This window comes from Homo sapiens, chromosome 7 (genome assembly GCF_000001405.40).
Source record: "Homo sapiens chromosome 7, GRCh38.p14 Primary Assembly".
In the NCBI taxonomy this organism is placed as follows: domain Eukaryota; kingdom Metazoa; phylum Chordata; class Mammalia; order Primates; family Hominidae; genus Homo; species Homo sapiens.
In genome coordinates, this window is record NC_000007.14 from 26,371,810 (window position 1) to 26,399,758 (window position 27,949).

At 41.0% G+C, this 27,949-nt stretch overlaps 1 protein-coding gene and 2 long non-coding RNA genes across 21 annotated transcripts in view, besides 6 other annotated features; 2 read left to right on the forward strand and 1 right to left on the reverse strand.

The window, feature by feature from the left end:
• The window catches only part of SNX10 (sorting nexin 10), an 82,522-nt gene extending 79,948 nt beyond the window's left edge, over positions 1-2,574 (forward strand). For 7 of the 11 annotated variants that reach the window (NM_013322.3, NM_001318199.3, XM_006715712.3 and 4 more), the window contains 2 exons: positions 12-224; positions 682-2,574. In NM_013322.3, coding sequence (NP_037454.2) covers positions 12-224; positions 682-763 — 295 coding nt within the window. In that variant the 3' untranslated portion in view covers positions 764-2,574. The remainder of the gene's footprint in view (positions 1-11; positions 225-681) is intronic. The other 4 variants (NM_001362754.1, NM_001362753.1, NM_001199835.1 and 1 more) reach the window with 1 other exon arrangement.
• On the reverse strand, positions 210-27,609 carry SNX10-AS1 (SNX10 antisense RNA 1). 3 transcript variants are annotated; one of them, NR_136272.1, is made up of 2 exons: positions 27,532-27,609; positions 210-759 (listed from the first exon to the last, which is right to left on the reverse strand). It is a non-coding gene; the product is annotated as an SNX10 antisense RNA 1 (long non-coding RNA). The 3 variants fall into 3 exon arrangements; NR_136270.1 differs by lacking the exon at positions 27,532-27,609 and adding an exon at positions 4,622-4,892; NR_136271.1 differs by lacking the exon at positions 27,532-27,609 and adding an exon at positions 4,278-4,460.
• Positions 4,871-5,080: a silencer, noted in NCBI's record as "silent region_18038". NCBI's record gives its function as "represses an Ori minimal core promoter by ATAC-STARR-seq in GM12878 lymphoblastoid cells {active_cell/tissue: GM12878}" and the evidence as "EXISTENCE:reporter gene assay evidence [ECO:0000049][PMID:35858748]".
• Positions 25,896-26,852: an enhancer, noted in NCBI's record as "H3K27ac-H3K4me1 hESC enhancer chr7:26437325-26438281 (GRCh37/hg19 assembly coordinates)". NCBI's record gives its function as "activates a minimal SCP1, AML or CMV promoter by ChIP-STARR-seq in naive H9 embryonic stem cells {active_cell/tissue: H9 hESC(naive)}" and the evidence as "EXISTENCE:reporter gene assay evidence [ECO:0000049][PMID:30033119]".
• Positions 25,896-27,096: a biological region, named in NCBI's record as "H3K27ac-H3K4me1 hESC enhancer GRCh37_chr7:26437325-26438281".
• Positions 25,927-26,166: an enhancer, noted in NCBI's record as "active region_25790". NCBI's record gives its function as "activates an Ori minimal core promoter by ATAC-STARR-seq in GM12878 lymphoblastoid cells {active_cell/tissue: GM12878}" and the evidence as "EXISTENCE:reporter gene assay evidence [ECO:0000049][PMID:35858748]".
• Positions 26,637-27,096: a silencer, noted in NCBI's record as "silent region_18039". NCBI's record gives its function as "represses an Ori minimal core promoter by ATAC-STARR-seq in GM12878 lymphoblastoid cells {active_cell/tissue: GM12878}" and the evidence as "EXISTENCE:reporter gene assay evidence [ECO:0000049][PMID:35858748]".
• Positions 26,760-27,949, forward strand: part of LINC02981 (long intergenic non-protein coding RNA 2981) — a 142,382-nt gene continuing 141,192 nt past the window's right edge. For 5 of the 7 annotated variants that reach the window (NR_148499.1, NR_148501.1, NR_148502.1 and 2 more), the window contains exon 1: positions 26,760-27,212. This is a non-coding gene — a long non-coding RNA (long intergenic non-protein coding RNA 2981). Of the gene's footprint in view, positions 27,213-27,436; positions 27,847-27,949 lie in introns of those variants that run through there. The other 2 variants (NR_148505.1, NR_148500.1) reach the window with 2 other exon arrangements.
• Positions 27,187-27,296: a silencer, noted in NCBI's record as "silent region_18040". NCBI's record gives its function as "represses an Ori minimal core promoter by ATAC-STARR-seq in GM12878 lymphoblastoid cells {active_cell/tissue: GM12878}" and the evidence as "EXISTENCE:reporter gene assay evidence [ECO:0000049][PMID:35858748]".

The following is a 27,949-nucleotide window of genomic DNA, read 5'->3' on the forward strand; positions in this document are numbered from 1 at the left end:
TTTTAATATAGAGTCCTACAGAATGCACTTTTGCTTTCAGATAGCAGCCTTCACCTCTTCTTACAGAGCCATCTGAATTCAGAAGACATTGAGGCGTGTGTTTCTGGGCAGACTAAGTACTCTGTGGAAGAAGCAATTCACAAGTTTGCCTTAATGAATAGACGTTTCCCTGAAGAAGATGAAGAAGGAAAAAAAGAAAATGATATAGATTATGATTCAGAAAGGTATTTCCTTGCATTTTGATTTAATGTATATGTATTTATATAATACATAGTATGCACATATGCACGTGTATAGATATATATACACACTTCACTTTTTTGTTGATATAATACTAAGATAATGAAAAAATTAATTGACTGAGATTTTATTGAGCTGTGACAGCTCATCATAGTAGTCTTCACACACACCTCCACACTGAATTAATGAATGCAGTAGAAATTCAATTATTTGCATTCTGATTATGTGACTTTCATTTAGTCAGACTTGAATTATTCGCGTTTAAATTATCTAGCTAAAAAAATACCCAACTGCACTCCAAATGGCTAATTAAAAGTCCAAATTTCCTGTCTCTCTTTGTGACTGGAGATAATTAAAGTTCTCCTCTGTTACTCAGGCTTTGAGTGTGTTGTGAAAACCAATTTCCTCTTTTTATTATTTTCCCCCTCTCTTCTTTTCCAGTTCATCCTCTGGGCTTGGACACAGTAGTGATGACAGCAGTTCACATGGATGTAAAGTAAATACAGCTCCGCAGGAATCCTGAAAAATAATTCTAATGTTACTATCTTAGGAATAGCAAATTATGTCCAGTCATAGAGAAGAAAGCTTCATAATAATACATTCTTACCTAAAGCTCACTGTCATGATGTTAGGTATTTAAATTCTTAAAGATGTTGGGTTGTTTATTAGTGGTATTTTTATGTTGTCTTATTTTAGGTAAGCTTCTGTGTAAAGCTAAAAATCCTGTGAATACAATACTATCCTTTACAGGCAGACATTATTGGTAAACAAGATCTTGCCCTCCAATGAAATGACTTACATGTTTTAAAAAACCGAGTTGGTTTTATTGAATTTAAAAAGATAGGTAACTAAGTAGCATTTAAAATCAAGATAGAGCATTCCTTCTTGTATCAGTGGGGCAGTGTTACCATAAACACGGTGTATATGTTGTTAAACCCTATGAAGAGTAACAGTGTAGACCAGACTGCCTCTCTCAGATATGTGCCTGATATTTTGTGGATACCTCCCCTGCACTGGCAAAACACTATGCTTTTGGGTGTTAGACTGAAATATTTTAAGAGTATTTAACCTTTCCAGTATTCTGTTTCACGCTTAGATGGAAATGTATCTTATGAATAGAGACATATTAAAATAATGTTTACATCTTAGAAAAAACATAGATAGTGCTAGTAATATTACTTATAACTGTAATATATAGATTCAGAAATACATTTTCATTATCCAAAATCAGCTTCAACAAATGGTTTCTGGAGACAAATAATTTGTTTTCATTATCATTGTATAATCAGGTTAATGATTTATTTTTTGACTAAATGTGCAATTTCTTATCACTAGATAACTTTCAGTATCAGTGGTGGTTACTTATTACTTAAATCAGAGGAAGGATTTTATAAAGATTAATAAATTTAATTTTACCAATAAATATTCCCATAATTTAGAAAAGGATGTCGACTTGCTAATTTCAGAAATAATTATTCATTTTTAAAAAGCCCCTTTTAAAGCATCTACTTGAAGATTGGTATAATTTTCATAAAATGTCTTTTTTTTTAGTGTCCCAAAGATATCTTAGATAAACTATTTTGAAGTTCAGATTTCAGATGAGGCAACATTTTCTTGAGATAATTACCCAAGTTTCATCCATGTTGAATGGTACAAAATATTTCTGTGAAACTAACAGGAAGATATTTTCAGATAACTAGGATAACTTGTTGCTTTGTTACCCAGCCTAATTGAAGAGTGGCAGAGGCTACTACAAAAAGCAACCTTTTCATTTTCACTAAGAGTTTAAAAGCTATTGTATTATTAAAAAGTCTTTACAATGCTTGTTTCAAAGAACCAACAGAAAAAAAAGCTAAGAAAACTGAGAACTAACATTAAAAAAATTAAATTTAGAATAAGAATGATTTCTTTAATTTGTCCTTTTTTTCTTTGGTCTAAAACATTATTAAATTTTTGTAAATATTTTGATTTAATGTGTCTTAGATCCTCATTATTTTAATACAGGAAAAGAAAAGATTTAGTAATTTCTTACCATGCTAATATGTAAAGTTCATGCCATCCAGGCATTTAAGAGCGATCCTCATCCCTTCAGCAATATGTATTTGAGTTCACACTATTTCTGTTTTACAGCAGTTTTGAAAAACACATACTATGCCACCAATTGTCATATTATTTTTAGATGATGTAACATAGCCATCAAAATTAATATTATGTAATGCCTAATACTTAGTATGTAAATGTCACGAGATCATTTTTACATTAAACGTGAAAAAAAATCAACTTTGCCGGATCACTTATTTTATACAAGAGAATATATTCTGCCTTAGACCCAAACTCAGTGTTTTTTATTTTTTATGAGGAAATTTGGTAAAACATGGTTTAATATTAGCTATAGTTGTACATATTTGAGGCTTTTAGCCTTGGTTTAGTTGTTTCAATGTCCACACACTGGCTTCTTAAAACTGATTTCTTGCAGCTGAGATATTTAGATGAACTTCAGTTCCCAGTGGTTTTCTTGCTTTGTCTCTTATTTTTCTCTGGCATATTTTTTATAAAGCTTTCTTTAGGAAAAAGAAAATAATTACTGATGTAGCTAACTTGAATAGATGTTTATTTAACACTATTTTTAATGTGACTTAAATGTAAAGAATTCTAATCCTGGATTCTTTATGATTACAATACAGCAAAACTGCATTTTCCCTGGCTGATTCTTAAAGGGTAAACTATTCACCTATAAAGCCAACTTACGTGTTTTGTTGTAGAACTAGATTTATATATAACCCAAAGGTGTCAACAGCACTGAACGTCAACAACCTGTTACTTCGGCTTCTTATAAAGTCTCACTTAGAAGAAAGTTACTTAATTCTAGTTAAAATTTCAAGTTTTAAAAATTACTAGGGACAAACAAGTATTTATTTTTAAGCAGATACTATTCCTTAAGATATGAAGTATCTTGCCAGTTTTTCAAACCTAGTCCACATTTTATTGAATAATTAAATACAAACAAGTGATATGCAGTATAAAGTAAAAGAACAAAGTTTCTTTTATGACAATTAAGAAGTTAAACAACTTCATTTAGCCTGGCCACAATAACCGTTATATCCAACAGTAAACTGGACGTTGTTTTGAATTTGGTTTGTATTTGTTGGATGCCTTAAGGATTCATTATTATTGAGCTACTGTGATACCAATAAGGTTTTCAGTATTTGAGCTATAAAAGACAACCCCTTTTCATTAGAGGCCCCTTAACATTTTAAACGAAAATAACAAAGCTTATTCTGTTTCTAAATAGTCTTCCTCTTAATATTTAAATTACTTAGCTGGTATCCTGTGAATACAAGGCAACATCTTTTCAATGAAGGAAACAATTTCAGTACAATTTTGTGTTTTTGTTTGGAATATAGACCTTTTCTTAGTTTATTATATATAAACACATTTTCAAATACAAAATACTGTCTGAAATTAGTTACTGCAATTTGACATTCAAAGCATAGAATTTTCTTTGCAAATAAAGGTCATAAGAAATTAATAATTTTAATAGAGTGGAGTTCAAAAATTTCAGAAGGATGTAAATAAGCAACAATTTCTTTAACATTTGCTATATATACAAAGGACTTTGGTTCTATTCTTTGCCATATGCATCTTACAAACGAGTCACCATTGTCCCTTTTTAGCAGACACAATTGCGCTTCACTCCTACTGCAAACTTTTCTAGATCATGAGCAGTGCATTGGACACTAATTTATTTTAGCTGCGCAAACTCTGGTAGTTAATGACCCTTTCTCTTTCTCCAAAATTCCAAAGACTTCTTTTCAAAAGATATAGAGGAAAAGAGAAAAAAAACCATTAAGCTACAATTTCCTGCTGAATTTAAACTCTGGTCTAAAGACACTATGTAAATGGCTTATGCTAAAGAGGAAAATACCCTTTCTCCCCCGACGAGAAGTGTAGATTCATCCAACCCCACACCGCTTGTCTTTGCTGCTAGAGGCACAGCACGGGCATAACTTGTGGTTGTGTTTTTGCTAGTTTCTTACCTCTGGGCCTTCTTTATAGCTTTGCCCCCCACCCCACTGGCGGTGGCGCTCCCGCGGCTGCACCCTCGGCCGCCTGTTGGTTGCGGCGCCTCCGCGGCCCGCGCGCATCCCCCGCGCTGCGTCCCGCACACGCGCGCTCCCGCCGCGTCCCGCCCGGGCCGCTCCGCTGGCGGCGGCGACTGGGCTGCAGGTAGCGAGCCAGCCGGCCTCGGTCCGGTAACCCATGGCAACCGCCCTGGTAACCCATGGCAACTGCGCGGCGGAAAGAAAAAAAAGAACCGTGGTGGGGCGGGGGGCGGCGGGCGGTGAATGGGAACAACGACCGCAAAGAGACAGCGATTTACCGCGCGGGCCTGCGGCTCCCGGCCGCACCTGCTGCAGACGGCCCGCGAGGCCCCTTCCCGCGCTACGGTGACGATTCTGGCTGCTGGGGAAAAGAGCAATAAGCAGAAAGCCCTCGTGCAGAGGGGATCCGGGCGGTGCACTTGGTGTGGGAGGCTGCCTTAAACGCCGATGACCCTCCCGGCCTCCGCGTGTCCCGGCTTCCAGGGCCCCGCCAGGCTGGAGAGCGCGCGTGGAGAGGGCCTTGCCGCCTGGGGGTTGGTTGAGGGGCGGCCGCGCCGGGGCCGGGGCTGGACTCCAGGCTTTGTTCTGCAGACGCTCGCGCCCGGCCGGAGGAGGGGCTACACCGTGCTGCCCCGGCCCCATGGGGCCCGGCCCCCGAGGGTCCCCGCGAGCGGACGCGGTGGGGCCGGGCAAACTCTACGTGCCCTAAATTTTGTCATCTGCACACGCATCGCACACATTAGTTAACCCCTTTCCCTTCTAGGCCCCCGAGAACCTAACCTGCCCGGCGGGCGCGCGGCTGCGTTAACCTGGCCCCTTCCGTCTGGAGAGGGAGGGGACGGTCGCGCCTGGTGGTAGGACTGGGCTGTGTGTGTGTGTGTGTGTGTGTGTGTGTGTGTGTGTGTGTGTGTGTAGGGGGGTGATACAAGTTTTCCACCCGCTTTAGGCTGAGGCCCTGTAAGCGGGACTGTGTTCTAGTACCCGGAAAAAGCGCGCGGCCTGTGACACATCAGGTGCCAGGCCGCCGGAGGACAGAAGGGGGCGCTGCCGGGCCAGTGCGGAGGCTGCAGCCGCCCACTGCAGAACGCGCCCTTGGTTGGGTCTGGCGAGCTGCCCGCGTAGTGGAGTGGTGTTAGGGCTCCCAAGTAGAAAGAACCTGTTCCCTACGTAGGTGTCGGTTGTACTTAAGAGCATCATTTGGTCGCTCGTGTATTCGCAGAACCCCTAGCCTGCAATAAGATGGTTCAGGAAACACAACCAGAACCGGTCTCATTCGGTACCCAGCAGCTACGTGCATACAAGTCCAGAGACATGTAATGGGGTGGAGGGACCACGCTAGGAATCTGGAGGTCACACATCCAGGTCGAGTTTTAACTAGCTGTGATTCCAGGCACATTGTGATGTTATAAAAAGGAAAAGATTTGGCCTGGATGATTATGAGGTCCTCAATCAGACCACTCTCTGTAGGTGTGTTACAGTGACAAATACAAATAGCAAAGCCATCTGGAATACCTTTGTTTTTTTTTTAAGGCAAAGGCCTATGCAAATATAATATGCACACGCTTCTGAAAGATGATTAGATCAGCACGGTTTAAGATACCCCATATTTTTACTGGTAGACAAGAGAAGCCGGCTATGTAGAGAATCCTATTTTAATCCTTTCATAAAGACAAGAATCTTAGATCTTAGGGAAACTTGGCTTATTTTCACAAATATGCACGTTCTGGGTTCCACTGCTTATAGAGGACCCGGTACTGGGGAGCATGTGCTCTAAAACCTGTTTTAGAGGTAAAACACAGGTGCTGACCTGCCCTGGGATCCGTGCAGTACAATCCCAGCTCTCTGCATAGCGGTGTACTGGGAGCCCTGTGCTTTCGTTTAATTTTTTTTTAAACAAAAGAAATTACAGAAAAGTGCAAATTTAACGTGTGACATTTAACATTTTGCCGTGGCAGGCAGCCTCCACTTAAATGGGGCCTTTCTGCGGAACAACAGGAGCCAAAAGGCCTTGTGTCATGGAGTAATGTAAGACACAATCTGGGCTGCAAACGCACAATGAATCGGGAAGGATTTATGTAATTAATTGACCAGTCTTAACCTGTTATCGTGATGTAAGGAATTTGGAACTCATTAATTTGGGCTCTGACAGATTTCATATTAGAGCTGGCAAATATGGATTGAGCCTCTTATTCTTGTAGCAGCTGGAATTTCCATGACAGTGAGGCTTAGTGAAGAAGACCTATTGCTGGAGTCAAACTGCCTCTTGCTAATCAGTAGCCCTGCTCTGTATTAAAGGGATAATGAAAGAAAAAAAAAAAGGAAAAAGCATATTACCTAGTTGGGGGAGTGGAAGGGGCTTGTGTTCATTCTGCTAGTACGTGGGTTGAGCTCAAGCATTTGTAGCTGAACCAAACATTAATTGCAATCATAGAGTTAGGTGATTTCTCAACACCTTGAGAGAAGAGAAGGTAGAATGGTGTCAGGGTCAGGTTTGATATTATCCAAGTTAAAGAGGGATTAAAAGACAGAGCCTCTGAATTTCATCTGTGTGCACATAGAGACTGTATGAAGAAAGAGGTAGAAGTCTTACGAGGGGCAAATGGGAGTTTTTTTGGTAATGTCATATTCATAAATGAGCGGTTCAGAGCCCTGAAGGAGAGACTGCCTTTCTCAGGAGCCACTTCCTGACTCCTGGTGGGAGCTCCCTAGTGGACCCCATGAAACCCAGAATTCACATAATGAGCGTTTAGTTGATAATTTAATCTGTGTCCTCTTCAAATTTTATGATGTTTACTGAATCACCCATTTGGAAATGTCCAGTTTCTTCTTTGAGATTGTAAATAAACTCAGTAAAAGTTTAACTTTCATTTTTTTTCCACCCTTGACAATCAGAAAATTGCTAGGTTCAAAAAAGCTCCCAGAGATTAAACAAAATGGTTTTTTTTTCTTCCTTCACAATAGTTTTCCCTTATTGCTGTACTATGTGATAAGGTTAATATAACAGCTGCCATACAGATCATTAATACAGGGAGATAAGCAAAGTTGCATGCTGGAAACATTTGCAGGGTATCATTTGCCTTCTTCTGCTGATAAAGAAGCCTTAGGTAACAAATACAGATCACAGGCACTGAATATTTAACTTTTTAGACAGAAATCCCAATTGATCTTTCCTAATATGTTATTATTCATAAATGCTCTTTAAAGTTGGGTACTGACTGCTCTCAAAATATGATTTTTTAAAAAAAATTTGTATGTTACCTACCTTTTCAAGTTTACAGTCAAACGTAATTTACTTTTTAATATGACAAATAGTTATAACTCTTGCAAAAACAAAGATTTCCATGCCCCCCTCTTCATTCTTATTTTTCTTTTTTGAAAATTGTCTTAAATTCAACCAAATTCCAAAGTAAAGAATTTTCCTTTTAGTTAGTGATAATGGGATTTGATCTATCAATGAAGTGCTCAGTATAAAGATTTGTTTTTGATTATCTTGTTAACAAGTGATTTCTTTAGTTTTGGCTCTATTTAAATGAATGCATAAAGATAAATGCTAGAAATTTGCATCAATATATTAATGTTATCCTTCACATTGAGAGCAAAGAGGGAGCTAGTATTTGTTATTGGTAGTATTATTTCAGTGAGAAGGCAATGAGGATAAACAATTGATACCAGCAAGACTTGGATAACTAGTATAAACCATGACAAGGGCGATTAATAGTGTATATAAACACACTTCAAGTTTGTATACATGATCTCAGCTCTCACCTAGTGATTTCTTTGTATTTTTTTAAAGGGTGATTTGTAAGTTGGCAGTTACAAGGCTATCAACTCATGTGCTGTGTGTACTGTTTATATATTAGAGGTATGGAATAGACATACTGAAGTGTGATTTACCGGAGAGAGTGTTGATTTGGAAGGATGTCTGGTGAATCAGGTTCTGGCTCTGTGGCTGGCACGTACCCAAAGGCAGTTCCCAACCTCTCTGGATGTCAATTTCCTCATCAGTACAATAAAAAGACTGGATACAGAATGTCCTAAAGGTGTTCCCTACAGCGCTAGTTCTGAGGAATGCTAATAAGTTTACTAAATGCTAATAAGTTAAAAAAAAAACAGGATGGAGGTTTCCATGGCCAGTTACATTTTGGACACATTGGGCTAAATAAAGTTTAATATTAATTTTTCTGCAGGACTTCTCAGTGACTTTCATATGGTAATATTCACTGTGAGGTCAGCACGGTGGCTCACACCTATAATCCTAGCACTCTGGGAGGCCGAGGCAGGTGGATTGCTGGAGGTTAGGAGTTTGAGACCAGCCTGGGCAAGGTGGCAAAAACCCATCTCTACAGAAAAAAAAAATACAAAAATTAGCCGGGTGTGGTGGCACATGCCTAAGTTCCCAGCTACTTGGAGGGATGAGGTGGGAGGATCGCCCGAGCCTGGGAGGTCAAGGCTGCAGTGAGCCGTGATCATGGCACTGCACTCCAGTCTGGGCAACACAGCAAGACCCTCAAGAAAAAACATACACTGTGAATCTCTAAGAGTGTGTGTGTGTGTGTGTGTGTGTGTGTGTATGCATCTCTGTGTAGGGGTACTGTGCACAGTTTTCCTAAACTGATTCAAAAAAGAAAGGGTGAACAGTGATCCCTTGAATCTATAGTACTTTGGAGTCCTTCTGAAAATGATTAAGGGGCACTTGCATTCACACTAGGTGTTCTTGAGGCCAGGGTGCAAGGAACATGGGATATCATTAAATGAGAACGATTCCCCTTCAGAGAACAGGTTCTACAGAAAGGCAGGGAGTATGGTACTCAGTTTGTTTGTTTGTTTGTTTATTTATTTTTGAGACAGGGTCTTGCTCTGTTGCCCAGGCTGGAGGGCAGTGGCACAATCATGGTTCACTGCAGCCTCAACCTCCCAGTCTCAAGCCATCCTCCCACCTCAGCCTCCCGAGTGGCTGGGACTGCCGGTGTACACCACCACATCTGGCTAATTTTTTTTATATTTTTGGCAGAGACAGGGTTTTGCCATGTTGCCAAGGCTGGTCTCAAACTCCTGAGCTCAGGCAATCGTGCTGGGATTACAGGCGTGAGCCACCTTGCCTGGCCTCTCAAACTTAAAAGCCTCTGTTTCTTTCACTCTCTCTTCTCACCCTACCAGATGCTCCTTGACTTATGATAGGGCTATGTTCCAATACATCTATGGTAAGTTGAAAATATTGTAAATCAAAAATGCATTCAATATATCTGACCTACTGAACATCCTAGCTTAGCTTACCTTAAACATATTCAGAACATTTACTTTAGCCTACAGTTGGGCAAGAACATCTAACACAAAGTCTATTTTATAATCTTGTGTTGAATACCTCATGTAATTTATTGAATACGATACTGAAAGTGAGAAACAGCATGGTTGTATGTGAACTTGATGTACTATTTCTACTGAATGTATATTGCTATCATGTCATTGTAAGTCAAAAAGTCATGAGTCAAACCACCCTAAGTTGGGGACCATATACAGTCATGCATTGCTTAACAATGGGGACATGTTCTGAGAAATGTGTCGTTACGCAATTTTGTTGTGTGAACATCACAGAATTTACTTACACAAACCTAGACGGCATAGCCTACTAAACACTCTGGCTACAGCCTAGTGCTCTTAGGCTACAAACCTCTATAGCATGTTACTGTACTGAACGCTGCAGGCAGTTGTAACACAATGGTGAATATATGTGGTCTAAACATAGAAAAGGTACATTTAAAATACTGTATAAAAGATAAAAAATGGTACACCTGTAGAGGGCAGCTCCATGATACTCATGGGACAACAGTCGCACATGCAGTCTGTTGTTGACTGAGATGTTACTATGCAGCACATAACAACGTATCTCTCTCTATCCCATTCCTCTTCAGCTTCTTTCAAACTCCTGACAACTTTAGCCTCTTTCTGATTTTCCAGACCCAGCCCACACTGGCTCTTGTCTTTCTCCCCCTTTTCTTTAACCCTCCAGATCTGTTCCTCACTGTTCTCCCAGTAGCTCTCAGAGTAAATCTGACACGGCAGTCCCTGGCCCTCTCGGCTCCTCCCCACTCGAATTCCAACTTTTGCAGCCATAGCTTAGGAACTAGTCTGACAAAGATGGGATTCTCCTGAGGAGTCTGGGGTGGGGGGCATTGGGGCAGAGGGGGTGGAGGTAGGGGGAGGGAGAGGTAGGGGAGTGGAGGAGGGGAGGGAGAGTGGAGGGTGGGAGCAGGTGGGCACACTGGCTGTCACAGTGGTGATCAGAGACAAGCCTGCAGTCTAACCCTGTAAAAGGTTTTCCTGAAACTCCTGATTTTGTTTAGTAGTAATGAACACCAGCTTGCATCCAATTTTTGTTTTCCTCTTTGTTGATCTACCTACCAAGTTTATCCCCTGACCTTCAGGGGACCTCACCCCAAAGCCACTGTGTGAAAACCAACCTTATTTCTAAGAATATTTCTAAGGTCTATGACCTTCTTTGGTAATCCATGACGAGGATTAACCACTCTTTTTAGAAAACCATTTTGTCCACATGCCTCACGCTCCCATTAAGTCCAGTCTATGGGCAGATCACAGGCCTCAGGATAAATGTGTAAGGAGGCCTTGTGCAAGGCCACCAGGGAGGGAGGACGCAGTGGTGCCCTCTAAGCACGTTGACATTCAAAACTCCTGAAATGCTGTGTAGAACTGTGCCGCATTTGGAGAGGGGAAGATAAAATGTGTCTGTGGGTTGGAGTCAGCCTGCAGGGTTTATAACAGAACTGTATTTTATATTTTTTGAAAAATATTAAGTTTTCCTGAACCTTTTATTTTCTAGTTGAATTAGCATTTCAACCTAAGTTTTGCTTTAATTTATGGTTCTTTTCTGAATCAAAGGTTTGTACATAGCTATGTTAAATAATGACCTCCAAACTCAAATGTGAAATTGGTGTAAAGGTTTTGACAGTGAGTTGTATTGTGAGCAGTTTAATTAAAGTTGTCTTAGTGGAGTCTACTTGTTTCTGTAGTTGGTGGTTCAGCCTGACTTCAAAACAACAAAAAATGTAAACATAGTAAATATTTCTTGAGCTCTAACATTGTGCTGACCTATAAGAGAGCCAGAAATAAGTAAAGGTTTGGTGAAGCCAGGCAAGATTATTACTGCCTGTTAGAGTAGAGGAGACAGTTTGAAATAAAATGGAAATAAATAAGGAGCTAGAGTCACCTGGACAACACTGTAGCTGTAACAAAGACACCCCAGATGGCAATGGCTCCAATGAGGGAGAAATCAATTTCTCTTTCAGGTAACTCTCCAAAGCAGGTAAGCAAGCCCTGCTCCAGGGGGCCGCCCAGGGACCTGGACTGGAGGAGTGGCTCTGCCATCCTCAACACGTGCTTTCCCTGATTGCTCCAGTCAGCCCTCTTTCTAACCAGGATAGGAAAGGAGAGAACATAACTGGGGAAAGCACCTTTTAATTTTTTTTTTTTTAGACAAGGTCTCACTCTGTCACCTAGGAGTGCAGTGGTGCAATATTGGCTCATTGCAGCCTTGACCTCCTGGGCTCAAGCAATCCTCCCATCTTAGCTTCCCAAGTACCTGGGACTACAGGTGCACACCACCATGCCTAGCTAATTTTGTCTGTTGTAGAGATGGGGGTCTTGCTATGTTTCCCAGGGTGGTCTCAAACTCCTGGGCTCAAGCATTCTTCCTCCCATCTTAGCCTCTCAAAGCACTGGGATTACAGGTGTGAGCAATCATGCCTGGCATAATTTATTTTTCTTTTTTTTTTTGAGACAGAGTCTCACTCTGTTGCCCAGGCTGGAGTGCAGTGGCGCACCTTGGCTGACTGCAACCTCTGCCTCCCGGGTTCATGCTGTTCTCCTGCCTCAGCCTCCCAAATAGCTGGGACTACAGGCACCTGCCACCATGCCCGGCTTTTTGTATTTTCAGTAGAGGCGAGGTTTCACCGTGTTAGCCAGGATGATCTCGATCTCCTGACCTTGTGATCAGCCCACCTCAGCCTCCCAAAGTGCTGGGATTATAGGCGTGAGCCACCGTGCCCGGCAGCATAATTTATTTTTCAATAGAAATTTTCAAACATACACAAATGTAGGGATAATGCAGTATAAGATATTCCCATGCGCCTATCACTGAGCTTAAACAGTTACCTTTGTATGGTCAAACTTGTATCATTTATATCCCCCAAATATGTCCCCCACCGCTTCGCTGCATTATTTAAAAGCAAATCTTAGACATCTTTAAGAAGATGATCTGGAAGTTGTACACATCACCACATCACTTGGTGAGAACTCAGTTACATGATCACACCAGACACAAGCAAGGCTGGGACATGTCTCTAGCTGGGCAGCCGTGTACCCAGGAAGAAGGAGAGAATGCCACACTTGGGATTACAGGATTTGAGGAGGTAGCCTTGAAAAAGGCCATACAGGTTGAAATCACGTGGCCCAGAGGAAGATCAAGGACATTTCTACACTGTAGTCAAATCCAACTGATGCCCAGTGCATACTGACACCTTGTGAGGGCTGCAGTGCAAGTCTTGAAAATCTTATGCACTCGCAGTTTCAGCAAATTCAGCATTTGCCAGACAAAAACAGAATAGCAAGATGAAGTGGCTTAAAAAGGCACTACCGCTCTTGCTTTTTTTCTCACCTGTGTAAACTTAGCTGAGTTAATGATTTTAGAGGGGAGAAAGTCAATATATGTGTAAATTATGAAGATGGTTTATGTGCTTCTGCTGTTGGAAACGTCTTTTAAGGTGCTATAAGGTATATGTGTATTTTAGACTTTATGTATTTTCCTGTAATAAGAGAAAAAGACACCACAGAACTTAAAATATGCAAAAGAAGAAATAGTTTACACTAGTGTAATGAATCAATTCATGTTAAAAACATTTATTGAGCATGTACTATATTTAGAAGATTGAGCTGGGTACTCCAGCAGATAGATGATAACAAACCTTCAGCCCCTGTTCTTGGAAGCTCTCAATCTGAGGGCAGACAAACATGAAAACATCTAACTATAATGCAAGACAGAATGAATCAGGTGCCATAGTTGGGTGTAGTGGACATCCATTATCTTACCTGCCCAATATCCATTCTCTTCCTGCAAGACCCTTGGTATTTCTCAGGGACCACCCCTCTCCACTCTCAGTCCCTGTGGTTTGAGTGGAGCTGAGTCAACCTTCATCCCCACAAGGGGGTGTAACCCAAGTCTAGTCAATCAGAGCAATTGTATTTTCCTGGCCCAAGTGATGAGTGGTTCATAAGTGGTCACATGCCCAGTCAAAACCAATGACCTTTGTGCTACTGTTGAGAAAAGAAACTCTTTCCTCCTCTGGGATGGCTGGATAGGATGAAAGCCTGGAACTCTGGGAAGCCCATATTGCCACTGCCTGAAAATGGAGCCCACACCAAAGGTAATTGAGCTGAGAGATGAAATGAGTGGGTCCTGATGACATCTTTTAAAACTGTCGGGTATTTCCCATGTCAAGCACTGCAGTAAGCATATCATTCACTGTTTTATTCATTCATTCGCTCACTTGCTGACTTTACCTGCGCAGTTGCATTTAATCCCTATACGGTAGTTCCCCAGCTGCTTTCTGAGGTCTCAGCTACTGGCCATCCACTGCGGTCCAAAAATCGGTGAGTACAGTACAATAAAATATTTTGAGAAAGAGACCACATTCACATAACTTTTATTACAGTATATCGTTATAACCACTCTATTTTATTATTATTGTTATTAATTTCTTAGTGTGCCTAATTTATAAGTTAAATGTTATTATAGGTATGCACATATAGGAAAAAACATAGTGTATACGTGGTTCAGACTGTCTGAGGTTTCAGGCATCCACTGAGGGTCTTGGAATATACCCCACTGGATGAGGGGGGACTACTTTAACATTAATAGAAAGTGGGTACCATTATTCTCATTGTATAGATGAACCTACTGCTAATTAATGGAAAAGGTGGGATTGAACACAGAATCAGATCTGTTTCTAATACCCTATATGGTTTCTCAAGGAGAAAATAGCTCTTATAAAACCAATGTATTCTCTTAGCACCTAGAATACAAGAGTGCATTCACTTAGAAGGGGCCCCTTATGTATTTCTCGACTGGGTGCATATTCATGGTGTAAAGAATAGTGGTGCTGTTACTTAGAGTGGGAAGCACAGGAAGAGGTGCAGGAGGAAGAGAAGGGGAAGATGAATTCAGGTGCAGCCAGGATGTGGGTACAGGAAGAGATGATATGTCCAGAGGTGAAAATGTGAGGTTGGAATAGGGCGAGAGGTAGAGAGGAACATTTAGAAATTTTCTGAGAGGAGAATTGATGAAGGACATCTTTCCACAAATGTTATCTCAGTGAGGCCTTCCTGGACCCCAAATTGCAACCTCCTTCTTCATTCCCTTTTCCTTACCTTCCCCATCTCTCCTCCCTGCTTTGTATTCTCATAGCATCAATCACCTGTATCTAAATAGATATCTGTTTGTTTTTATCTATGTCCTCTGCATCCCCATGACAATATAAGCTTTATTTGAGGAGGGAGACAGGCTGTTGTTCACGGTGGTATCCCACATGCCTAGACTAGTGCCTGGCACATAGGAGGTGCTCAAAGTATATTTGTTGAATTAATAAATGAAGGAGTGGAATTGAGTGAGATTGCTCACTGATGGCAGAGAAAAAGAAGGGTAGACAGAAGACCTCAGAAGAGGAGACCCTGGAAGTGACTGAGACAATCTAAGAGGCAGAAGACAAATCAAAGAGCCATTCCCAAGAATAAGGAAAGCAGAGGGCTTCCAGAGCAGCACAGCCAGCAGGGTCAAACGTTGCTGAGGGGCAAAATATGGCCGAGGCCATTACATCTTTGGTAATGTTACACAGCATCATGGTGTGGAGGCTCTTGGGATTCAGAGTTAAGCATGAGGGTTTGAATTTCAGTCCTGCCATTTACTAATTTACTAGTTATGTAAATTTGAATAACTCTCTAAACTTTGGAGGCTTGGTCTGTTTACCTGTAAAATGGGTATAATACTGACCCTACCTCAAAGCATAATTTTAAGGATGCACTGAATTATTATATGTGAAAGACATGTATATGTGTGAATTATTACCATTATCAGTGATTTGCAGTGGGTAGAATAAATATCTACAAATAAAGGAAGTCATGAAAAATTTTGATAAACCGTTATTGTTTGGGAATAATTGATTTCAAGACAAAACAAAATACATGATGATTCTTGCTGTCATTTTCAAACACTATGCATATATATTTGAAAATGAGCATTTGCATTTATGAATTTGAATTTGGGGCATTTTCTTTATCAGGACTGTTCCCGGCTTTTTTATACCCCTTCTTACTTAGGCTATTTATGCAAATGCACAATCCCAGACAGACAAGAGGCAACATTTCAGTTCTCTGTCAATTAGGTTGGAGAGCTGCATGCAACCATTCCCTTCCTTCCTCCACCCCCCTCGCAAGCCAATCTTATTTTTTACCCTTTGTATCAGAATGTTGCATATCCCAAGTCTTTCTAGAAAATCACTGATTTTATTTATGCATTAGCCTTTTATGTTGTAGGTTTTGAGTTAGATTTAGTCCTGGTGGCTGAAAGTTGAACATTTTCTGAATGTTTTCCCCAGAACCACAACCATATTTGGCAGCAAAGAAGCTGGAGGGATGAATAGACTTCCATGTTGCTTGGTTGTAGATAGGGAGATGCTGGCAGAAATTTGCAAGTATTTGCATATATACAATTGTCTGTGATGTTTGCTTCCACTCGTGCTCTCTTTCTCTGCCCTCTGTTCTCTTTGTGCAGTGAATTACTAATACAAATACAGATAATGAAATTTCTGATCCCAGACTGCAAAGCAAACGCACATTTTGGAAGGTATCTGGGGAAAATGGATAGGTTCTTTTGATCTTGTTGCTTTAGCCAGACAAGGAAATAAGGAGAAAGTAATTACAGGGACTTGTCTCTGAAGGTAGAATGAGTGGCACTGACAGGGTTTCTTTTCACAGAGTCTTGTAGAAATGCTATTTTCTTGTTAATACCAATAGGTATTATTCCTGGAAATAGAGTTTATGTATTAAAATGTGTGTTCAGCAGATGGGACACCGTCCACAGGAAGCAGAACAAGTTCTGTCCTTGTGGCTACAGGACAGAGTGGATCTAGGGGTGGGTGAAATTTGTCCCCAGGCTTGAGGCATTCCCCAGGGCAGCCATGACAGTGCAAATTCTAGAGGTGGAGTGAAAGTGCATTTGTCCCTGAAAGCATCCTGTGGTAAATCACCGCTCTTGCATATTCAGAAGTCGTCAGTTTCATAAGCAGAAGCGTGACTCTGTTGGGCAACTGGAGGTGGTAACTCAGTGGCTCTGATTAGGTGGCAGTGATAGCAGGAATGCTCAGCTTGCCTGACTTAAGAATATGTTCCTATTGGCTATCAGAAAGCTCCCTGGAGAAAAGAGCTGAAATGCAACTTTAATTGGCAACTTTTTAGGGTAACAAAGAACATTTTCTTATACCTATCCCTGTGGTGGACCTAAAGTTAATACATTGGTAAGTGAGCAATTCGAATTAAGTCCATGCTTTCTTAAACAAACAAGTAAACAAAGAAGTTTTAATTGTCAGTGTACTATGTACTTTATGGCACAACACGATCACCTTTGGTTTAAGAAATGCGTATCGGCTGGGCGCACTAGTGCATGCCTGTAGTCTCAGCTCCCTTCCCTGGGAGGCTGAGGTAGGAGGATCCCTTGAGTCCGGGAATTCAAATTCAGCCTAGATAATATAACAAGACCTTGTCTAAAAAAAAGCATGCCAATTCTTTTCTTCTTTTAAAATAATTTTGATTTTACCTATTGTTGACCTTTCATCATATATCATGTGGTAAACACCAATTCTGTTTGTCTGAATAGGTTTCTAAACAACTTAAGCTTGTGCTGACAGCTTGTATAAAAAGAACAAATATTTGTTTTTTATTTCATGCAAATATCGCATGCTATCAAACAAGACGGGCTTAAAGAGGCTAGGATTTTGTCTTTCATAGCTCACTAAGGGACAGCTAATCTATAGCAGAAATAATTTTAAATGTAGAAGTGCAGTGTGGAAAATACAGACCTCCCCCTGGTTGAAAACACATTAGTAGAAAAAAAAATTTAGCTGAAAAAGGTTATGAAATGCTTATCTTGTTAGACAGCTTAAAATATGTTGGGAATAGAATAAAAAAGAGAGAAATGGTTTATAAGAAAAAAGACTGTTCTAACAGCTATTACTTTATTGGAAATTAGTTTAGTGACATTAAAACTCTTTAAATAAACATATATGAAATGATATAACGTTGTGTTGAAACAAGGTTAAGTAAAAAACTGAAATAGCATTATTGTGGATAAAGTAGAGATCAAACCCTTGAAATTACGGATATTAAGGAACTCATTGGGCAATCACTGGGTTCTTTGCTTTCTTTTCATTCTTTCTTGGCATATCGTTTATGGCCCATAATGAGGTAGGTAGAGATACATTGTTATAGCTGCAGTTTAGTGGCAGAAAGTGAATGAAAGAAAATTTCTCTTAAAAATGAAAACAATATTCATCCTAATGATGCTGTTGGACTGTCCACTATGGAGATTTAAACTAGCATATGAAATTCATTTACAGATATAATGGATACCAATCTAAATATGAAATATTCATATGTATGATATTGCTTCTGTTTGGATTCCTGCTGTCTGCCATTCTAGGTGGGATTGTGGATGGATTTTCCCCTCTCACTCATTTCCTGTTCCACAATGCCTACTGTGCAATATTACTGGGCTATGTCAGCCACCTAGCTACCTTCCTGGTGTGACCGCTGTTCCTACTTTCCTTTATACAATGAAGAATTAACTGTTCAGGTACTGTCATCTGCCTTATCCAACACACTTCATAACACAGGGAGAGAATTTTAATAAGACCTCCAAGGGGCCTGTTGCCATTTTTAGAGAGAAGGTTTCCTACAAAGGAAGTGCATGGAAACTCCCAAGAGAAAGCTAAAACCCCCTGCTGAGAGGAACCCGTGTCATCCCATTTTATTGTCTACCTGTCACCACAGCCCTTGCATGATTCTGACAGGCTGCTCTTTTCTCTTGTAGCCAGTGCTGCTTAATGTCATTTTCTTGGTTGAACATCTTTATTTCTGACTTGTTACAAACCATTAACTAGTTTCCAGGTTTCAATGTCCTGGCTACTTTTGACTAGTAAGTCATTTGGCATAACAAGGTTTCCCTTTATCTTCTTGCTAAAGAAAATCTCTACAAGAAATGATCAGTGTTCCAATTTTTATGAATCCTAGCAGATAGGAAGTGCCTGTCATCGGATGCGAGGTATCTTTTCTGAAAGCATATTCCAGTTCATATAATAGAACTTGACAGACACACTGGGTAACCATTACACTTTCTGTAGAAGGCTTGAAACAATTTAGGTGAAAAGAAGAGAATTTTACAAATATACTTGCCTGGGATGGTTTGAAATAAACATAACAGCATTGTTTATAATTAGATTCCTTACATGAAATGTTTTCACACATAAAATTTTTAAAATATATTTTGAAAAGCATTCAGTAGTTTAACAGTTGTCAGTCTCTATAAATACACTTTTCAAGTGCTAGTTATTTGTAGTATTGCTAAAATGAAGACTGGCTGCTTTGGACAATGATTTAAAAATAAAATATATAGATGTGTGGCTTGACGACATATTGCTAAAGCATTAAAAAACTTAGACTTTAGTTTGCTTTGTATAAAGCTACTCAAACATGAAATTAATATAACTAATTTTTAAAATTACTCTATTTTATTAAAGTTTCAAAAATGTACTTTTTTTTTTTTTTTAAAGAGATGGGGTCTCACTCTCTTGCCCAGACTGGAGTGTGGTGGTGCTATCTTAGCTCACTACAGCCTCAGACTCCTGGGCTTAAGCAATCCTCCCACCTCAGCTTCCCAAGTAGCTGGAACCACAGGCGAATGTCACCACGCCTGGCTAATTTTTGTATTTTTAAAATAGAGGCAGGTCTTGCTATGTTGCCCAGGTTGGTCTTGAGCTCCTTGGCTCAAGTGATCCTTTCATCTCAACCTCCTAAAATGCTGGGATTATAGGCATGAGCTGCCAAGCCCAGCCAACTTTTTTAAAGAAATGAACTTAAACATCATGAGCATATATGTTAATGTAATGTTACATTATTTAAATCTTAAGTAAGAATATTTATTTATCCTTGCCGAATTAATGGATTAAGGATATTTAACGATCAGTTACTGACCCAGCAACTCCACTTCTAGGACTCTATATTAGTGAAACAGTTGAGCAAGTGCATAAGTATGTATGTTCAGTATATGCGGCATTGTAAATCATGAAAAATCTGAGACAGCTTACGAATATATTAATAAGGGAATGGATAAATGAGCCAAAGGACACCTCTAAAGTGGAACACTACATTGTTGTTTAAAAGTTGAGCTACAAATGTATGTGCTGATGTGGGCGGTGTCTTTGATATGTTGTTGAGTGGAAAAAGCAGCCTGCAGCAGTGTGTGTAGAGTGTGAGACCATTTCTGAGAACAGTGGGAACTCTCTCTCCCCACCTCCTCTGTCTTCGTAGGAACACAGAAAACAGTCTGGAAGGATACACACCGGACAACCTTTGAGTGTGAAGGCATGGGGGAAATAAGACGAAAGACCTGATCTTTTGCTTTATATACCTCCATATTATTTGAATTTAGCTTCTCCAGTGTTTATGGACACTATGAGTTAACTTGACAACCTGATTAAATAATTTAAAAAGGAAATTTCATGTCACAGAAAGGATTGGATGAAAAGAGATAAATGTAGCTACTTGAAATTTCTAACAAAGAAGCGTGGTTTCCTTCCATTCGGTTAACTCTGGCACTCAAAGAATTTGTGTCTCTCTATGAATTTTAACAAATAGAACCTCAAAATCTGGGCGCATATGCTGTCAACCCAGAGTCTATGTCATCCTGGGAGCGGCTGTGGTCCTCAGTTGATTTCTTGGTGCCGTATTTCAAATCAGCTCATAAATTATTAATAGTACATGTGTAGGTCAGAGACACACTAACCCTGACAATCATTTCATAATATTCTCTCTTTAGCATTAGAAGAGAAGAGAAGGGAGTAATCAATATGCAACATCAGAGGTATATTTCACATAGATACGGTATAGGCACTTAGAAAAAAAGAGTCAGATCTTTACAAAAACCTGTCAGCCTGGCATTAATCTTGCATTATGAATAATGTGGCTATCTATGAATCTTTAATATTTTTTAAATGATGAAATTGTATTGTATCCTCTACCAAAGCAAATTTGATAAAGTGTGAGAATAGTTTGATCAATGAAGATGTTGATATATGTGAATAAAAAAATTTAAAGCTAGCTCATTAAAGTGCAAAAAGCAACAGCTATACTTTGACCTCAGTGTAAATTTTCAGCCCAAATTGAGTTTTACCGTTATCCATAATGTCACGGAATTATTCTTTAAACAAGTTATAAAATAATTGTTTGGTTAAAACCATTATCCCACAAGACATCTCTGGTAATATACCACTAGCAACCAATTTGGTATTGGCTTCTGGTTTATAATAAGACCATCTTTGAGAATTCCTAACAAACACTTAGATTAATGTTTCATATATAAGATACAGCAGTGCTCATGAAAGATTACAAATCCAATGGCTTTGCTAGAAATACTGTTACATTTTTTTTTCCATGAAGTAATCCTGGAATAGTTTGTTCTGGTTTAATTTTCAGTGAAAGTAAGAAAAGTAGATCAAGAACTTTGCTTATGAAATTTGCCTAATGAAGAAATTTTAATCAGTGCTTGTTGAACTGAAGATAAAAATAGAGTTTGTTTCTACAGATTTGAGGAGAATTAACATGTATCTGATTGTTAATATTTGATTCTTGTTTAATTATTTATTATATCAAGGAATGAATCTGTCAAGTAAATAATGAAATGCGTACATGCAGCATATGTAATTAGGTTAGGTGCATAAATCCAAAGTGTTCACTTTATAGTTGTCAGTGCAAAATTTATTAATAATGAGAAATGTTAAGTGAAGAAAATTCTTAACACCGTCTACCTCATTAGTGTGGATTACAGCAATTGTTGGCTGAAGAAAAAGAAGGCTACAAATAGTCGTGGTTAGGCTTCATTTTCTTAGTTGTCTTTTAATCGTTTAAAAGTATTAGTGAATTGGAGCACATTGGTTTCTCTTTTTAGAAATGTATGATTTGAAACAGGAGTTGTGGATTCGAATGCATGCTGCCAACGGAATAATTCCACACTGAAAAAATACAGGCCTCAGGGTTTCTAAATCCAAACAATTATTTAAGGGGGGAAATTCAATTAACATTTGAGAAGAAAAACCTTCTTTTATGATTAAACTGTCAGATTTGAATCTGAAGATTCAGCTTTAAGTTCGCTGTGAAGGTGCATAGACAGGAGGCGATGCATCACCAGCTGTCTCTGTTTCCCCTGCCTGCCCCAGCTCAATGGGGACAGAAAGAAGCACCTTGTCAAGTACCTTCCGTGAACCCCAGGTTTGCCTGGGCTGCTGGCACAGGTGATGAAACAGGGATTTGAGGAGACCTCAGGTACCTGGGAATGAGACTTGATGGGATCGCTGAGTATGTTGGCGTGGAGATTACAGGGACCTGGTTGAGTGGGTGCCACCAACTCCATATTAAAGAATCTGACTCATAACCTGGTTAGAGTTAGGTCTGTACTTCATGTTAATCATTAATACCAATGTATGGTCTAAGGGGCAACCAACCAGAAACAAGATAATGAGATCCCACTGTGTCACTAACTAGTCTGGTAACTTCCAGAAAATTCTCTAAATTCTAGGGCCTTAGTTTCTTCACCTATCAAATTAGAGGACTGTCATTCTGGCTTTAAAGGTCTATGATTCACAGAGATGGTATTGGAATACATCAGATTTTGTGCAAGCAGTTCCATGAGTGTCTTGAAAAGAAAGGGAGAGTATGATGGTACGAACATTCATCATCTGACCAGGTATTGTTCTAGAGACACTTATACATTTATTAGAAGATGGAAGATACGATGACAAAAGGAAGTCCATGTGGTATTTTAGTAAATGACATGACTAAAAATGTCTTACTAAGGGAGTGTGGGCTGCCTTTCCTCAGCAGCGGGGACCAGAGACGTTCGAGTTAGTTACCGTGTATTGACTCCAGATAAATGACATGACTTAGCCACTACTTAAGAACTTTCTTACCTCATATATATATATATATATAATTTAAATATATATTATACATATTTAAATATATATAATATATTATAAATAATATATATTATTTATATTATATAATTTTTATATAATATAAATATATAAAATATATAAAAATATTATTTATAATATATATAAATTAAAAGAGAACTAGAAGGCCTATTTAGGATAATGAAGTGACATTACAAAACAAAGACTACATGTTACAATTTTCCTATCTGCCTTCGAGAGGGGAATGACTAATAATTTTATCTTCAAACATTTCTATGATTTACACGTTTTCAAAGAGGAATATTCTGATGGTGAATAATCCAGTTATTACATTATTTGCTAAATTAAAATAATTATTTGCTATTCTCCTGACTTAATTCTCAGATGTCTACAAACTAAAGAACTTAGGGCAAAAATGGCTTAATTCAGTCAAGAATTCATATTGTTAAAGGAAAAATCCTATGTGGGATCCATAATATGGCTAGTTATTTAGTGGGGAGAAAGCAAAGCAAAAGAGCAAATATTTTACTGCACCCTAAGAAAATATCAATTGGATTCAGCCAAGCAGTTTGCTATCGACTAAATCAATATATACCATTTTTTCAAACACTATTTTTTGGTAGAAAGAACCAATATAAGAATAATCAAAGTGTGATTGGTTTTGATCTTCAAATAAAAAGCCATCATAAGTCGCTGATACTGGCCAGGCGTGGTGGCTCACGCCTGTAATCCCAGGACTTTGGGAGGCCGAGGTGGGAGGATCACCTGAGGTTGGGTGTTTGAGACCAGCCTGGGCAACATGGTGAAACCCCGTGTCTACTAGAAATACAAAAATTAGCCAGGCGTGGTGGCATGCGCCTTTAATCCCAGCTACTTGGGAGGCCGAGGCAGGAGAATTCCTTGAACCAGGGAAGCAGAGGTTCCAGTGAGCTGAGATGGTGCCACTGCACTCCAGCTTGGCCTGGGCAACAGAGTAAGACTCCATCTCAAAAAAAAAAAAAAAAAAAGAAAGAAAAGAAAAGTTGCTGATACTTTTAGTGCCTACTCAATAGCCATCCTCCCTTATTCCTTATTCCTTGGGAGCTGCCCTGTCCAGATTCTAGAGAAAAAATAAAAAAGTTTCTAAGCCACTAAGCTTTGGGATAGTTTGGCTGCAGAAATTGATGACTGGGAAACGGACTAAAATTCAGCTTTTGTTTTGGCATTGCCTGTCCTGTCAATTCCCTGCTCTCCTGCACCGCTCCCCTTACCCTCAAAATAATTCAAGACTAAATCCTGATTAGTTATCAATTCTGATAATCTTGCCTCTCTTGCCAGTGGTAGTTTAGAGATAGTCACGTGCCCTGGTTCTGGCCAATGAGAAAAGATCTGAGGGATCTTTGGTATAATTTCTCCACTCTTAAAAAATTTGAGAACAGTCAACTTTTTTGGCTGGCCTTTGCCATGTCTTAAAGTGATGCCTGGAACTATGGCAGCCATTTTGAGACCTTGAGGAGAACTAGCTAAGGACAAGGTCAGCAAGCTGAGGATGGCAGAATTTCAGAAAGACGAGAAAAACTTGACAACATTAAACATTTTTGACCCACTAAATTAACCAAACTTAGCATCTGCTACCTTGGTACTTCCTACATGAGATACTACATTTTCTTCATTTTTAAAGCTACTACAGACAGGTTTTCTATTACTGAAATCAAAGTTATCCTAAGAAAAACAAGCAGCGTATGAAGCTTTATTTTATCACATCTGACAGAACAGCTCAGCCTTAAGTTGGGAGTAAGATTTATACAATTCTGCTGATAATATTTATTACTCATTTTAATTGTTTGCATGGTAATATTGAAGCCCCCCAACTGTTAGGAAATGTGCATTATTTTAACAATACTGGGTATCAGTAAATAAAATATGCTAAATATTGCTGAAAATAAACACTAAGTAACTCAATTTGTGTCATTATATGTGAGGAATGGGAAAAGCTTCTTGGAAGAGGTGATATTTAATCTGGACTTGGAAAGATCGGTGATATTTGAACAGTTGGACATGAAGTTCAAGGGCATTCTAGAGAATGTCATGGGAGAGGAAATGCAATAGCATGATTTGGGGATGTACTGTAGTAGACAAATAAGGCTGGAGCTGGGTTAGGTGCAGATTGTGGAGGGTCTTAAATGTCTTGCTAAGGGAGTGTGGAGTGCCTTTCCTCAGCAGTGGGGAACAGAGATATTTGAGTTAGTTACTGTGTATTGATTCCAGATAAACGAATAAAGCATATAGTATGTATATATTTTTTATAGTTTTTTTGGTATATTTTCATGAAAAGTGTGTATGATTTTAGTGAAACCATAAAAATCCATTTTCATTCCAATTTAGATTCTGTTTTAAAGTAGTTGCCAAGGAAACTAGTAAGTGACTGGTTATGCCCGATTTTCCCTAAGTTCAAAATTAGATGCAAATTCTTCAAAGAGACTACTTGAAGGCCAGTAAACATTTCAAAGGCAGTCAAGCTCAGACGCCTGGGTGTGTGGGTGCAGGAGGGTTAGAAGGGGGGTTCTGATGTTCCTGGAGGGAAGAGATGCCTTGCCTGTGTAGGCAAAGAGCTACTTTGAGGGAAAAAAGCTGAATGAGTTAGAGGTGAGTGCCCAGGAAGAGAAGCTGGAAGTGAGAGGTTCCACTGAAGTGCCTAGAAACAGACACTCTTTAATGGAGACAAGACCAAATTTCTGGAGTTTTCCTTTGTTTACATCTTTTTATCTTGTCTCGTTTCAAAAAGGAGTTAACTTTAAATATGTCCCTGAATAAACACGAGGCAGCATGACTCCATCGCAGGTAGAGATAGGACTAAAACATGATTCTCCTAAACTTTAACCCTGGAGTTAGCTCACTTAATCCTGTAAATCTCTGCAAAGACTAACTTTGTTCCCTGGCTCCTCCGTGGTTGCCAGGTGGTGGATATACATTCTACAACAGAAGAAACTGGAATCGCTAGAGGTGTCTTTTTTTAGGGCAAGGAAGCATTTCCCAGAAAACCCCAACAGATGTCCCCTGGCTTGGCCTTGGCCAGGACTGGTCACATGCTCTTTTCTAAGCCAGTGCCTGGGCAAGGGAAGGGGTTGGTCATAACGGATTTAGACTACTTAGGATTTACTTCTGGGCCAAGGAGAGGGAGGGGGTGAGGGAGGGGGTGAGGGAGGGGGTGAGGGAGGGGGTGAGGGTGGGGGCGGGGGGCTGGCCCGGCCTAAGATGGCTGGGGGTGATGCGTTCGGGGGACAAAGGAGTGCTGGACAGTTGTGTGAGCTGTAAGAAGGACCCGGAAAATACTGCAGAGTGATTGAGAGTGTAGAGGGGCCTGGGTTCTCACCTGTGCTCCCTCCCACCTTAGCTGGGTTATGCTGGGAACCTTTCAAGGCTTTGCTAAGCCTGGGTTTCCAGGAGTGCAATAAGATCGCTGTGATAAACATGTAGGTAAAGCAGTTGGCATAGTACCTTGCGTAGAATAGTCCTCAGCATATGTTTACTACTGTCGTTGTTGCTATTAATAAAAGTGACCTAGCTCCTCTCCTCGAGAAGTTCACAAGGGGCCCAAATGTGACAGGGGGAGCTATCAGAAGGCGGGAGGTGACTTCTTGCCAGGGAGCAAGCCAGGGCAAGAAGAGAGGCGCCGTGAAGCCTGCGTTCCCTCCCGCACGCGGCTTGCCTCGGTGGCCACACGGGGAGCTCAGCAAGGCCCAGGGTTCGGGAGGCGGGTCCTGCACAGCGACGCAGCCTTGTCCCGGTGGCCGCAGGCCTGGGGAGCAGGGCGCAGCACACCCGCCGCCCGCTTGCAGGCGAGACGAGAGCGGGGCGCCGGGATGCTGGCGTCCAATTTAACCACCAGGGCGCACGGGACGGAGGCCGGGGGTCCCGCTTTTCCGTCAGAGTTCGCGGTCACGAGTGGAACCCACTGAGCACTCTAGTTTCCTGGTATTTTCATGGCAGTAATTGGATGACAGAGTCAAGAGGCAGGGCCTGCGCCGACACTGACTAGCAACGCGCGGCCTCTGAGCCGCGCCCGGCCGCCCACCCCTTCCTCCTCCAGCACCGGGCCGGCTCCCCCTCCCGGCCCGGCTCGGCGGCTGGGGGGTGGGCGGAGCCGCGGCCGGGCAGTTCATTATGTTGGACAGGGCGCGTCTGCGCCTCCGGCCGCCGCGGCTCCCGGGGCCTCCGCCTGCAGCCGGCGGCGGAACGAGGGCAGGCGGCTGAGACAGGCGAGCTATTTGCATTCCCCGGCAGTCATTTTTATATGCGGAGGTAATGAAGTTGTCAGCGGCGCCCCGAGTGTGGCAGAGCCTGATATTCAAATCGCCCTGCCCGCTCCGCCTGCTCCCGCCCGCTGGTCCCGGGAGCCCCAGGCTGCGCGCGCCCGCACCGCATCGCCGCTTTGCCCCGCGACCGCGCGCGCCTCCTCGTCCTCCCCCGCGCCTTTGTTTCCGTCTCCTTCTCCTTTCCCTCCTCTTTTGTGTCGGGCCAGACTCAGCCCCAGAAACCAGCCACCCTGCCGCGTCCGACTGCCAGGGATCCCTCACGCCGCGAGGTGAGCTGGTCGCAGGTGTGGGGAAGTTCGCGGGTGCAGCTAGGCCGCCGCCCTCGCGCTCGACGCCACGCCCGCCTCCTCTTTCCTTCCCCAGGGGCCCCTTGCCCTCCCTTCACCTCCGTCTCCAAGAAAGATGACCTAGTACTGCCATTACCGTTTGGGCCTAGAGGAGTTTTCGTTCCTCTTTCCGAATGCATATTTGTGGTCATTTTTTATGATTGCAGAAACCCAACACACAGCTATTCTGTCAGGCTGCCGAGAAAAGGCTGTTCGGCAGTTGCAGCCCTGGTGAGGCAATGAGGAGGAAAGGTGGACGCACCTGCCTGGAGTGGTTGAAGGAAGGCAGTGAACATCCACGCTCCTGGGGTTGGTTTTCCTGAACCTCTGTAGCTGTGCTGCTCACTGGGGCAGCCACTGACCACAAGAGGCTGCCGAGGGCTTGCAGTGTGGCCAGGCCAGACCAGGATGTTCTCCAAGTGGGAAATACACACCCCATTGTAAAGAAGACTGTATGGAAAAAAGAATGTGAACTGGCTCATTCATCATTTAAAAACATTGATTGCATATTGAAATGATAATATTTTGGGTATATGGGGTGAAATAAAGTATCATGAATTAAATCTTTTTTTAAAAATGTGGCCACAAAGAACATTTAAATTTACACATGTGGTTCACATTATATCTCTGTGGGATCGCACTTAAGACCCAACCCCACCCATCCTCTAACTCTGCCCTCT